The sequence below is a fragment of the Homo sapiens genome, chromosome 11, assembly GCF_000001405.40.
Source record: "Homo sapiens chromosome 11, GRCh38.p14 Primary Assembly".
Taxonomy (NCBI): domain Eukaryota; kingdom Metazoa; phylum Chordata; class Mammalia; order Primates; family Hominidae; genus Homo; species Homo sapiens.
Window position 1 is genome coordinate 43,110,010 of NC_000011.10, and position 15,161 is coordinate 43,125,170.

Sequence of the window (15,161 nt, forward strand, 5' to 3'; positions counted from 1 at the left end):
ACAGGCCCTAAAATATATGCAATGAAGAATAATGTCAGTGTCCATATTTTTGGCATACCCATCTCCGTATATACGTATAGAAACAGTTCTCTTTTACCCACCCCCATCTTGTACCTTTCCCAATGGGCAACAGAAATATTTTAGTTTGTATTTGGAAAGTTCTGAGCAGACTGATCTGTAAGTTGCCCCAGCAACCTGATAATTCATTACCACTTCCATTTTACAGAGATTGAATTGCTTAATATCTTTCAGTTAGTAAATAATGAATCCAAGACTGAAAGGATGCTTTCTGATTCCCAGTCCCCTCTTCTGTAGAAATGGAGGACATGGGCAAACAAAGCCCTTTAAAGAAATTTTAGAGTTGTTTAAAAAAAAAAAAAAAGAAAAAGAAAAAGTGGGCAGGGAGGAAAATCTGAAAAATATGTTTCTCAAAGATCCAGAAACAGACAAACTTAATTTAAATAACATCTTTGTGAACCAAGAACACTTCAAACAAAAATGTATTAACTGAGCTCTTAGTATGTGAAAGATACTATGCTGGTGACAATTAAAAATGGGAAAAATGGGAATAAGTAGCCCTTTCCCTTAAAATGTTTGCAATCTTGAATAGGGAAGACAAGTTTTTTTAATTGACTTGCCCTGCTACCATTGACCTTGAGAAGAACTGTGAGTGGGGCTAAGTAGGAGAGGATTCCAAAGAAGCAGGCAATAAGGACCCAGGTGGACAAGGAGAGAAATAAACTAATTTAGAAAATCTATTATTTATGCACTAAAACCCACTTCCCTCTTGACCTGCACCTTAAACACAGACACATTTATTAAATATTTTGCTGCTAAAACTGAATGTAAGGAGCAATTATGTAGGGAAGTCATTTCCTGGTGTCACTAATGTCATCTTGAGAGAGCAGCTGGAGGATGTTCTAGACAATGCAGCCCAGCACCCAGCTCTCCCTTGCCCAGGTGTAGCTTTTGATGGTTGGAACATAACTTTAACCCCATCAAGACTTTTCCTTATGTTATCGTTAAACTGGGTCACTTGTGATCCTTCAAATGCTCCATGCAAATCACCAAATGAACTTCTGCACCCAACAATGAAAACACTACAGAGAGAAATTATGTAGAAGGAGAAATTTTTAGATTTCCTTCATTTTCTTAGAGCATAATTCAGATTGTTGGGGGGATGACAAATAGGGGTATTTTTAAAAGCAGGAAATAAACATGAAAGAGCTGGGAGGCATCATTTTGAAAAAGATAACTAACATACATTTACAGAGAGGAACGAAAATAAAAGAAAGCGGTGTTGGTCCTAACAATAAATCCGGGGTCCTTGTGAATACACAACGAGTGTTAATGTAAAAAGTGCTGAGAACAGGTGATACAGCCAAACCATGGAATACTACTCAGCAATAAAAAGGACAGAATTGTGGTGATGGATATGTTAAGAGGATGGACATGTTAATTAGCTTGATTGTGGTAATAATTTCACAAAGTAGCCGACCGTCATACTATACACGTTAAACAATTTAAATTTTTCAATTATACCTCAACAAAGCTGGAGAGAAGAAAGAGTAGGAACTATTGATGCATACAACAAAGGGTGTTATATAGATCTTCAGAGAATTATGCTGGTTGAAAAAACCCAACCTCCAAAAGTTGCATATTGTATGATTCCATTCACATAAACTGCTTGAAATTACAAATTTATAGAAATGGAGAACAGATAAGCAATAGTTTCCAGGGGCAAAGGAGGGTATAGAGGCAGGAGAAAAGTGGGTGCAGCTACAAAAGGCCAACATAAGGGATCCGTAGGGTGATAGAAATATCCTGTATATTGACTGTATCACTGTTGACATCTTGGTTGTGATATTGTACTGTAGTTTTGCAAGATGTTATCATTGGGGGAAACTGGGTAAAGGGTACACAGGGTCTCTCTTTATTATTTCTTACAACTGCATGTGAATCTACAATGATCTCAAAATAAAGAGTTTAACTTAAAAAATCAAAGGTAAAGTCTCAGAAAAATAGCTAGCTAAAAGAACCAAAAGTGGCTGACTCTTAGATGTCAAAGGTAAAGAAGGATTGAGAAAAGGATTGTCCATTTTCACTAAAAAGCCTTGTAGAATCACATAATGTTGATTCATGTGATAAAAATTAATTTTTAAAGATGCTGAGAGATTCTATTTTGATGAAATAGACTAACGTGGAGTAGACTTGTGAGACCTTCCCTTTTCTTTTTAAAACACTTTATTGAGGTATAATTAAAATACTAGAAGCTGTACATATTTAATGTATACAGCTTGATAAATTTGGAGACAAAGTATACACTCATTGAAACCATCACCACAACCTATGCCATAAACATATCCATCACCACCAAAGTTTCCTCTCACCTTATTGTTATTATTATTTGTGATAAGAACATTTAAGATTTACCCCCTTAGCATTTTAAAGTATTTTAATTATATAATACAGTTATTGTTAACTATTGTTAACTATATAACTGTTTACATACAGTTATAATATAGTTAACTATAGGCTCCATACTGTACAGTAGATCTCTAGAAGTATTCATCCTGCAAAAATGTAACTTCGTATGTTTTGAATAATACCTCCCAGTTCCCCCTTCCCCAAGCCAGCCCCTAGTCATCGCCAGTCTACTCTCTGCTTCTATGACTTTGACTATTTCTGATTCCCTGTATAAGTGATATCATGTAGTATTTATCCTTCTGTGTCTGATTTATTACACTTAGCATAATGCACTCCAGGTTCATCCATGTTGTCTGAAATGGCAGGAAACAAAATTAACATTTATTGAGCACTTGCTGTTTGTCAACCACTGTGTGCAGCATTTTAAATGCACATCCCCATCTAATCCTCAGGAAAATCAATGAAGAAAGTGCTCTTTTCCACCGTTTTATCCCCGTACACCTGAAGCTCACATTGCTTGAGAGATTAAAAATCATAGTAAGCAGCATGGCTCAGCCTGGCATTTATACTTCAGAGCCAGTGTGCTTAATGATGCTCTTTGGGGAGGGAAATACTAACTGCCAAAGCCTGTTGGTGCCCAGACCTACTCCTGGGTAAACAAATAACTTGGAGTGGGGGCCAAACCGGCCTTTGAACCAGACAGACCTGGGTTTGAGACCAAGTTCCACATATCATAGCTGTGTGACCTTGGATGTGTCACTTAACTCATCTGAGCCTCTACTTCTTCATCTATAATGTAGGAGTAACAGAACTACCCACGTCACAGTGTTGTTGGGAGAATTTAACAAAATAATATACATTTAGTGCTTAGCACAGTGCCTGAGAATCAGTTCTCAATAAGGGATAACTATTATTACTAGGATCATTATGATTATCATAAATTTTGACATTCTTATTCCTCATAAAAGGTTTCAAATAAAGCTTTCTCCAATTCATATCCAGAAGCTGTTGAACTTTCCTTGAAGATGACTCTGAACTTCATGTTTCCTCTCAGATAAAAGAGCAGAAAGGGCTTTCACAAATGACATTCATCAGAAAAGCACCTAGGATTCTGTGATTACTGAACTTCTCTCTTTTGGTATACAAGAAAATCAGAAGGAAAAAAGCTGTCTGGCTAAGTAGCTCCTGCTCCTGGATTTTGCTTTGTTTTGTTGTTGTTTTTGTATTGATTTTTTATGAAATATATCATGCAGAAAAGGCAAAGACTATTATAACACTCAAGTTCCCATCTCCCAGGTCTAACCAATATGAACATCTTTCCGTATTTGCTTTATATCCTTCTGTGAATAAATAAAACATTACAAATGCAGATGAAGGTGCCTCTCATTCCCGTACATCTCATTCTTCTCCCTCTGTCCTGCTCACACCCTCGCTCCTTCTCTCCCAAGTGCTGATTTTCCAAGGCAGCTTTGAATGGATCTAGGTTTGCAGGCTAAAGCTCAAGCAGCTCACTTCCTAGTCCTGCGGGCAGACACCACATGCAAGGCCGTCACCAGGAAGTTTTTGTTCTGAGCTTCTGCCCAATGTTAAGTATGAAAGATGAGTCCAACACTATTCTCCCAATAAGGCCTTACCATAAAAGTGCAGTGACAGACATTGAAATAAGCATATGCCCTGATTCCTCTTTGGAGAACCCTCTGGCCACATGATTTGAATAGGGCTAACCCCACTCTCTGTCTCCAAGCCCTGGCCAGTGAGTTTACTGAATCCTCCTGGCCACAACCACTGCTTCAGTGATGTAAACGGGAACAATTAAAACCAGCCCCAGAATTTTTACTGAAGTTAGAGGAGGGAGGTGCTGCCTAACCTCTGGAGTCTTTCAGTGAGAGGATATAAACCTAGTGATGGAGGGAGCACCATAAATATAGCACCTGCCTGAGATCAAGCCAGCACACAGAGAAAGTATTGCTGAGTGATACCATTGAGTCTCTGGATCCAGTGATCCCAATGTTAGGTCTGTCACTGAAATTCCCACTTATAGGGCCAATATATTCCACTGTTGTGCTTAAATTTGTTTGAATTAAAGTTCTGTCCTGAATAATATTAAACAAAACAACTAATGAATAAGACAGGACCTAACAGCAACACGTACTATCAGCCTGCATTCTTCTCTAAGTCTTTTACCTGTGAAAACTCATTTAATCCTGAGAAGAACCCTCTAAAATGTAGATTCTATTATGATCTCCAGTTTATAGCTGAGAAAACTGAGCACAGAGAGAAGTAATTTGCTCAAAAACATTGAAGTATTAAATTAAATAGTGAAGCTGGGATTCAAATCCGGGACATCTGAGCTGCAGTTTAAATTGTTAACTACTACTGTACAATTCAGAAAGTGAATGTTTATAAAGAAGTCATGATAAATGATAAAATGTGAGCTATTGTTATCAAAGAAAATACATTTCATAAAGAATATTGTGTCTTTAACTGGCCTTCGAAGGATGAGAAGCACAAATGGCAAATATAGAAAGGGAAGGAGAATTCCTCAGTGGGGGAGAAGACTTGAGCAAAGGCAAGAAATGAACACAAGAGCACTATATTTAAAGGTGACAAGTAAAAGACCTTATATTGATTTTTTTCATCCTAGGAAAATAAAGAAACTGTATATAAGACTTAATGTGTAGCATGATTCCCTAAATTTATAATTACTCTTTCAGGAATACTGGGAAGATAATGAGTTTAACCAAATCCCTGATATATTAGTCCGTTCTCACACTGCTTTAAAGAACTGCCTGAGACTGAGTAACTTAGGAAGAAAAGAGGTTTCATTGACTCATAGTTCCACAGGCTGTACAGGAAGCATGGCTATGAGGCCTCAGGAAACTTATAGTCATGGCAGAAGGTGAAGGGGAAGGAAGCACATCTTACTATGGCAGATCAGGAGAGAGAGAGAACAAAGGGGAAAGTGCCACACACTTTCAAACAACCAGATCTCCTGAGAACTCACTCACTATCACAAGAACAGCAAGGGGGAAGTCTACCCTCATTATTCAATCACCTCTCGTCAGGTCCCTCCCCCAACAAGTGGAGATTACAATTTGAGATGAGCTTTGTGTGGGGACATAAAGCCCAACATATGACCTGAGCATATTGATTTGAAGTGACTAACAAGGAAAACCAAGTCGTCTCCTTCTCCCAGCCTCTCTAACCACCTCAGAGCCTCAAGGTGCATATGTGAGGATCCAACTAAAGATTAAGAGCTTTAGAATCAGATAAGTTGGGTTCGAAACCCAGCTCTGCAATTTATTAGTTATTTGGCATTGAGCAAGCTATTTCATACCTCTGATGCTGTTTTCTCATCTGTAAGAAGGAGTTAAGAACGTAGAGATTCTCATGGCGTTGCTTCACAATTTAAATGAGATCATGTACATCTGTGCTTAGCACAGTGCATGGCAGAAAGTAAATTCCCAATATGGTCAGCACTATCAGTGATAGTATTAATAACAAAATCAAGTGACAGTGAAGGTGCATACTGTTCTTAGGTGTAGCAAAGATCCAGGCCATTTGGCTGGGTCCTCTAAGCTATTTGTCTTTGCCTTAGAGGTGGGAAGAGGAGCCATGGAGGCCAATAGAAACCATCTATTGCTTTCCCTTTTCAAGGCAGCCAGAATAATTTTTCAACCACTGAAATTATAAAGAAGATGCTCAATCTGCTGATAATTTGATTTTAATTAGAACTTCCATCCACAATGCTGGACTTGCAAGGGAAAAAAAGAAGCAGAAATGAAACAGCAATTAACCTTTGGTTTTCAGCTTATTTGTTCCTAACCAACATGGGTCAGTTGCCATAGAGATTATACCTACGTGGTCTGCAGATGTGAGCAAAGCTGCCTGGAGCCTCTGAACTGACCTGCTCTCAGTGTGGCTTTGGGATAATTAAAAATCTACTAAAGAAAGAATTGAAAGTTAATCTGAAACTCTAGTCCAAAGCAGACTTGAATGGAAGTAGAAGAAAAGGAGAGGAAGACAAGGAGAAATTAGAGTCAGGAAAAAAAAGTTAAAAGTTAAAGACACAAATTACTTTCCCTACTTTGGAAAAAAAATTGATCTCTTTCATTCACAACTTTCCAGAGTCTGACTGTCTGTGACTTTAGGAGAGATTTATCGAATGAGGAGGAAATGAGGGGGCATGAAGAATTTGTCGCTTCTATTAGAAGGGGATCTCTTAGCTTTGGATGGTGACCAGCCCACCTTAGCCAGGGAGGCTGAAGTAGGGATGGGGTTAGCAACCGTGAGCTTGAAATTCTAGTCTCCAGAAAAGTGGGTGTGCATGAAGCAATGGAGCAAAGTCACTGGTGGCATGCAGATGTCTTGGGCCAGGTCACACCAGCAATAGCATGGAAACAGAGAGCAGGACATCTAGTGTGAAAGAACCAGCAAGTTGCTCAGTCATTGGAATCTTACCTCCCTGCAGGAAATCCATTCCCCATTTGCCCAGTGGATCCCTTTTCAGCCGGATAGAGCTTGGTCTACATCTGTCTCCATTCCCCAGCTATATTCTGGCCCCTTTCCTTCTTTTTGGCCCAACACTTACAAAATCAAGGTCAGATGGATAATTAAGTTATATCTTCTCCCAAATCTAAGGGCTGTTAATTACCCAGGACAGTGCTAATCACTATTAGGGAACAAAATAGCATCTGACTTAAGTGGATTCTAATTAAAGCTTTAGTATTATCTCCTGAAGCAGTGACTTTGAAAGTTTTTTTCTTTCATACAAGATCCTTCTAGGAAGCACTGTCCTGGGGATCCTTCATAAAAGCCCCCTCCTCAGTGAAGCCTTCCCTGTCCACCCTGTCTACAGTAGCCCCCATCATTCTTGACCACACCATCCTGTCATGAATAATGTTTTCATAGAACTTATAACTTACTGGAATAATCGTGTTCATTTTGTTAATATTTTCCATAAGCTTCATAAGAGCAGGAGAACTTGTTACCTTGTGTATAATTGTATTTTCAGTGCGTAGAACAGTGCCTGGACAATCAAATACTCAACAGGCATTTGTTGACTAAATAAATGACTGTTCCCCTAGGCCTGCCCAGTTTATGTGCCACTTACAGCCAGCTATCATTCCAACCTATCTTTCTCCTCTAGAAAGTATTTCAGAATGTATAAGAATGACAGAATTATTGAACTATTCCTTCTTTCAACAAATATTTATCAAATGTTTACTACATGCCATATACTATGTATATTAATCCATTCTCATGCTGCTAATGAAGACATACCCAAGACTGGGTAATTTATAAATTATAATTTATAAAAGAAAGAGGTTTAATTGACTCATGGTTCCACAGGGCTGGAGAGGCCTCAGGAAACTTACCTTCATGGCAGAAGGGGAAACAAACACATCCTTCTTCACATGGTAGCAGCAAGGAGAAGTGCAGAGCGAAGGGGGAGAAAGCCCCTTCTAAAACCATCAGATCTCATGAGAACTTACTCGCTATCATGAGAACAGCATGGAGGTAACCGCCCCCATGATTCAATTACCTCCCACCAGGAGATTATGGGAGCTATAATTCAAGATGATATATAGGTGGGGACACAGGCAAACCATATCACTATGCTAGGTGCTGGCAATAAAAAAGACAAGGCTCCTGCCTTATGGAGGTTCCATTATGAAAGTGGAAAAATAGCTGCTGTACATTGACGTACAAATAAAAAGTAAGATTTAGTCATTAATGGTGGTGTTCATTGCAATGGAGGGAATCAATGGGGTGATGTGATAGGAAGTAATGGGGTTGGGAGGGCAGTGTGTCAGGGGAAGTCACTTCAGTTCAGAGTCAGGGAAGGCCTCTTCCGTAAGGTAATATTTGAGAGCCTGTCTCACAATAAGAAAGGAATTCTACGCAGAGGGAACAGAAGATGCAAACTCCATGAGGTTGGAAAGAGCTCAGCACTTTCAAGAGCTCAAGGGTAGTGGTCCAGCGGGAGAGAAAAAGGTGTCAATGAAGAGGTACACTGGGCCTTGAGGATGGGGAAGGAGTTTGTATTTTATGTTGACCACAATGAGAAGGTACCAGCAGGTTTAAGCAGGAGCATGGCATGGTCTGAATTACATGTTAAGAAAATTACTCTGGCTGCTAGGTGGAGAATGAAAGGAGGAGGAAGAATAGATGCGAAAGGGCAGCAAGTGGCAATTGCAGTTATCAAAGCAGAGATGATGGCTGCTGCCTTGCTCTTGGCTGGTTGCAAAAGCGAGGAGGAAAAACAGAGATAACCTCATCTCATTCTAATATGTATTTTTATTAAATTTTTAAATAAATTATTTACAAATTCGTGTGCTTCATTATAATAACAAAGCATTATTATATTGATTAGAACATACAAGCATGTTGTGACTAATGGCTGGGAATTGCTGTTCTGGAGAAATTAACACTGGTTAGGCAGGTGAGAAGAGGCATAGTAGCCCAAGGCTTATATACATATACCGAGGTCCTGTAAGTATGACTGCTCTACCACTCCCTTCTGGCCTGTGATTGAATTTGTCACCTCTCATCACCACACATCAATCTTAGGCCTGACCTCAGCAATGTCACTTTGATCATGCCCCTTCAGGGTATAGTCTACATAGTCTACAGATGCTGGGTTAGTTAGCAACGTGACCCTGCCGTCAGCACTCCGGAATGATCAATATTACAATACAGAGCTCATTGCAGGACACTTCGCTGGTTACCCACTGGCTGAGATGCCAGTCACACTGATAAACAGAGGTGGGGATGTACAAAAATTTACCTCAAAGCCATCTGCCTCCTAGGATTGTCCAATCCAATGATTCTCAATCTAGTTGGATAGTTAGAATCACCGGTAGCTTGTTTTAAGTTGCAGATAAGAATCTCTGGGTATAGAGTTCAGAGATGATTGTGCTTTTAAATCTCTGTAAGTGATGCTAATGGGCAGCTAGGTTTGAGAACCACAGTTTCTAACCCAACTGTCTTATCTATCACAGTCTACCTTATCTAAGACCCTGTGGGACTTCCTCTTTCTCAATCCTCACCCCTGTTAGGCTTTGACAAAGAAATACATTCCAGCAGATTCTAACGGCTACCATTTAGTTGGTTCTCACCAGCTTCCAGGCAAGATGATCAGCACCTTGCCAATGTTATCTCATTTCATCCTCATAACCACCCTCTGAAGCAGCAGCATCAAGAAGGCTGAGAAAATGCTGGCTCAGAGAAATTATTCGAGATGCCCAAAGTCACATAGCTAATCAGACAAGTCAGACTTCATACCAAGGTCTTACGATTCTTCATGACTAAGCAACTGTAACACTGTCTCTTCACTGTCTCTTAGAGAAATCAAAGTTTCAATCCCTGTTTTGCCCCCTACTGGCTGTGTAATATTGGTGAGTTATTTAACCTATCCAAATCCCAAGTCCCTCTTGTAAACAGCTTGTTGTCCACTCCAGCCCTCTTCTCCCCCATATTTTCTCATTAAGTCTCATTAGTTCTCAAAGCATTGCATATCCATGCTACCTGCTTTTTTCTCTATCTGCCACATGCATCTCACCACGGATTCCTTCGGATCTTGGCTAAGGACCCTCCAGCACCTAGCACAGAGCTTGGCCCAAAGTAAGAAGTCAATGTCCATTGAACTGAAAAAGATAGCCTCCCACTGGGATGACATAATTTGGGAATTTGGGTTGTTGTCTGACATTCAGCAAAACCCTCCACAAGAGCCACATTGGCCCTTACAGAGCTCTCCTATCAGGTGACCAGGGATACTCAATGTTAAACTGCAAAGGGCAAATGGTCTGTGTGATCCCAGGCACTTATTTAGAAGAATTAACTATATTTACATAACTTTACATATATTCAAGGCAAAAATTTATGATATATTTATTCAAGGCAAAAAAGATGCAGATGTGAAATACCAAAGACAAAAATATTTTCCCATAACATATAGTGCAAGTGTTAGAGAACAATGCAATTCTACAACTCTCCCTTCTATCACAGCCAAAGTTGGGTCTTCCAAATTATCAAAAGGTGACCCTTATCAGCATAAAAAGGAGAGTGAACTTAGTCATAATTGAAGATCAAAAATCAAGAAACAACCAACCTTCCTTGTTGCCACTTCTACCCTTAGATTAGAACCAGAAGGCTATGGAAGAGAAGGATAAGGGACTCACTTTTCCTCTCTAAATCCCTTGCAAAGGAGCATGAGAATTTGTACAGTTGAGGACACTGCATTAGAGAGAAATCAGTCACCCCTTCAATCCCAGAAGAGATTTTTTCTTTAAAAGATCTTTGTGAGGTGGCAAGTGCTTAATATAAGATGATGATGATGATTATTATTATTCTTTCATAGTACCAGTTCTTGCCTTCATTCATTTAGTCATTCAAAAAAACATTTACTGAGCATCCACTGAGTACTCTTATCCTCTTCATTGTGCTACTGGGCTTGAAGGGAGAAACTGACGAGACTCCTGTCAATAGAGAATTTCAAAAAGAGACAAAAAAAAACAAAACTTTACTTGAACTTGAGCAGCTGCATTGTTTGAGCTCAGTTCTTTATCTGAAAAATGGAGAATAAAATACCAATTTTCCATGGTTAGTGTAATAGAATATAATAGCCTCAGTGTGATATCTGTTACATAGTAGAGACTCAATAAAAAACAGTCATTATCACAGTTATTCTTGCTATAAGGGAATTTAATGAAGGTACTATGAAATCACAAAGGAGAGAACACTTACCTCTGTGGAACTATTCAATGAGGGAATAAAGGCATCATGTCACCAAGCCAATACTGTACTTCAGAGATTTATGGAATCACTGCTTATGTGCCACTTAGCAACTTCTGAATGCCTATTAACTTGTATTTGAAAACCTCAACTCAGGGGTCTATGTCTCCTTCTGTCCACAGTGACATCTGATGTCTAGGTCTTCACTTTCTTTGACAGACCTAGAATCTGCTAAGGAGAAAAACAGAGGGAAATTGAGAGTACATAACCATTAAAATTAATTGCTCACAAACATTAGAAATCAGACACCCATTGCAGTCATAAAATATGGATAAGGATTTGCTGAAAGTCATTTATATTAAATTACTTTTATAATAATATTTAACTTTTAAGCTTTAAATATTTAGTGCTTCTTTTCTTGTTGTTTGCAAGGAAACTTGCAGCTGTTTCATAGCTGAAGAACTCCATATCCATTCTGACTTGAGGCCCAGAGGACTGGACATCAAACCAGCAGCTCTGAGAGTTGAGACCAGCATGTGTGTCAGTGACTTGATATTAGCCAACTCTCATTCATTCAACAAAAATTAACTGAAACTCTTGGCATTCCAGATTCCAGGATATAAAGATATATAAAGCATGATCCAAGAACCCAAAAACTATCAAGAAAAGACAGGAAGGAAAAACCCAACTGTTACAAAATGTTGCCTACATTTCCCCCACACTCATTCCCAAATTACTTAATAGCTTAGAAATGCATCTTGCTCTTTCCCACCTCCATGTCTCTGCCTGTGCTAGTCCCCCTACCTTAAATGACAACCCTCCGCCTTGCCATCTCCCAATTCTCCTTATGGATTTAGCTTTAATTGTAACGGGGGTCATCACTTCCAAGAGGCTTTTCCAGGAACTACTTGCAGTGTAATTTAGACGTCAAACATTTAATCCACTCTGTTCATACTTAATCCACCCTTTAGACACTAACTCTTAATTCACTCTGTGCATACTTCAGTCATAATACCCATCACACTTCCCTGCACTTGTTGATTTACTTGTCAGTCTCCTCTGCCAGCCTGTGAGATACTTGTGTCTAATGCATGATTATATTCCTATGTCCTTTGCAGTAACTGACACAGCATAGATGTTCAATTAAACTTTTGGAAGTCAATAAATTAATTGCATAATTAATTAATTTGGTAGTATAAGTGTTATAGTAGATAGGTTTACTTAGTATAATGCAACTGTATGGAGGGATACAACCAACTTCTTGTGGGGAATGAGGAGGAGGGATGCTGTCAGGAAATACTTAGAAATGATCATAGCATTTGAGCAAATTTCTGGAAAAACTGTGATATGGTTTGGCTCTGTGTCCCCACCCAAATCTCACCTTGAATTGTAATAATCCCTATGTGTCAAGGGTGGGACCAGGTGGAAATAAATCATGGGGGTGATTTCCCCCATGCTGTTCTCATGATAATGAGTGAGTCTTGTGAAATCTGACTGTTTCATAAGCATCTGGCATTTCCCCTGCTGGCACTCATTCTCCCTTCTGCCACCCTGTGAAGAGGTGCCTTCCACCAAGATTGTAAGTTTCCTGACGCCTCCCCAGCCAGGCGGAACTGTGAATCAATTAAGCCTCTTTTCTTTATAAGTTACCCAATCTTGGGTATTTCTTCATAGCGGCATGAGAATGGACTAATACAAACTGGATATCTTATAATTATGTACACTAAAAACTGAAATTACTTAATTGTCATTGTGCCCTCAAAAAACTACTTCAGATATTTTCACATCTAATTAGCATCGTATGGCCTCTGGTCCTCTCCTATTGCATCGTCCATCACACTGCCATCATCACACCCACTAAAAACATTGTGAACACCAAAGAACAAGCAGGAACAAAGGAAAGAAAAGGTCTTTCTTCCCTCTCCTCCTACCAACTTTAGACGGTATAAAGTGCCCATCCTATTAGCTTTTCTGTTAATGTATTCAGAAAGAATTCCAGTCAGATGCCAGGGTAAAACCTAAGTTGACTGCCAGGAAAGTCTTCATCAAACCCAATCCTATTATTGCAACCCATACATTCATTCATTCATTAAAACCATCACCTTCTGGGTAAACCTGTCAATCTACCAGAGTAACAACAGGAGTCACAGAGACACCAACTGCTTCCTGACTCCATTTCAATACCTCAGAAAGTTTTTCAAAAGACAAAGTCAGACAAAGTCCTGGGATCCTCTAGACTTAAACTAAATTGTGATTATCATGACCTAGTATAACCTTGGTTCCAGCTACTGCCAAAGGTGATGATAACCTAAACAGGAATAGAAATCTAACTGTTATTATTGCTGGGAAAGTCTTTTTATGTGAGAAAACAATAGGCTGATCTCTGAACAGGAACTTCTGGTGCTTGTTCTGTAACTTGGAATACATTAAGTTTTGCAGTGCCCTGGAACCTCCATTAAACATACCCAAGGGAGGACACCACCCCTTGCAGGCCTAAGGAAATGACTTGCTTCCAACTGCAAATCCCTTCGACCTACTTCCAACCTGTAGTTGGAACATCTCTGCTGGATCCTTTTGAATTGTTAAGAGTTGGCATTTGGTATTATTTGGGTAACTTAATATCAGAAAAAAAACAGATCCAAAAATATATGGTGGCTAAACAAAATAGAAATTTACATGTTGTTTACAAACCAGTAAAGGCAGATGAAAGAATTGTGGGTTGGGGGCAAAGAGGTGTCTTCCTGTTCCACACAGCACTGACAAAGAATCTTCCATCTTTGACATGTGGTTTCTATACCCCAGGGAAACTCTCTCATCACAACCAGCTACAAGGAGAGAAGCACCTGGAGTGATGTGTACCACTTCTACTTATCTTGCATTCTACAGAACTCAGTCACATGGCCACATCAAACTTCAAGAAAGGCTGGGAAATGTAATCTAGCAGTGTGCCCCAGAAGAAGAGAGTAACAAGGATTTTGGTAAGCAGCAGATATTGTTGGAAAATAACTTGCAATTTTTAAGAGCATTCATGCAACAATCACCCTATAATAGGCAATAACAAACCTAAGGAAGCAAGTGCAAGAACATAGGTAGACCTATCTTTAATCCTCTCTGAGCCTCAGATTTCTCCTCAATGAAACAGAGAGAAAAACCAATGTAGGAATAAGTGAGCCAATGGGGTCAAACACCTATCACAATGCCTGGCACATACGTGTTCAACAAATGTGGTGGTGCTGGTGGTAATTTGCAGTTACTCACTATTCATGGGTAAGATATTGTTTTCATTTTCAGTATGTAAAATAGTAAGTGCCAAGTTCTAACCTTTGCTGGAGCAATTAGCCACCAATTCAGTTCACACTCTCCTTCCCCCACCTCAGCTTTTTCCCCTAGAGCTACCACTCTGTCTGCATGGGAAGTCTTAACCATTGATGAGGGACCAATGTCCACTCCATACCCCAAGAGCATTCCTGCTTAGTCTTTAACTGCAGCCCTGATAAATCACTAGGATTGGTCTGCCTGTCACGGCACATAAAATACAAACCATCAAATGCTAATGAAATTGTATCCACCACTGAGTGCACAAAAGTGTGTGGCTGGAAGGAGGTCTGACTGCCCAGCAAGTTCATTTGTTCCTTGCTTTAAAGTGATCAATCATTTACTCAAATTTCAGTGAAATGGCCTGAAATGTGGAAGATAAAACAGCCCAGAGCTCGGGCACAGTAGATTGGAGGCAAGTCTCAGCAGTGGTCATAAGTAGGCAGCCACATCAGAAACAGTAAAGCCCCAGGGGTCCTGGGTTTTTCAGCTGGGAGCAGAAGGGGTTCTTCATGTGATTGAGTCTCAGTAGGAGCCTTCTGCTTTAGCTCGAACTAAGCTGCAGCTTCCATCACTTGCTGTGGCACTTAGAGCACTTGCAGTTCAAGGTACTCCCTGGAGTCCCACTCTCAACTTCTGGAGCACCTGCTCCTCCAGTTCATTTCCGGCAGCTCTCCTACAGC

At 39.7% G+C, this 15,161-nt stretch overlaps 1 long non-coding RNA gene across 1 annotated transcript in view; it reads right to left on the minus strand.

Moving 5' to 3' along the window:
- Positions 1-11,459, minus strand: part of LOC124902662 (uncharacterized) — a 46,307-nt gene extending 34,848 nt beyond the window's left edge. Inside the window, exon 1 of the long non-coding RNA XR_007062656.1 lies at positions 11,176-11,459. This is a non-coding gene — a long non-coding RNA (uncharacterized LOC124902662). The remainder of the gene's footprint in view (positions 1-11,175) is intronic.
- Positions 11,460-15,161: the final 3,702 nt, after the last annotated feature.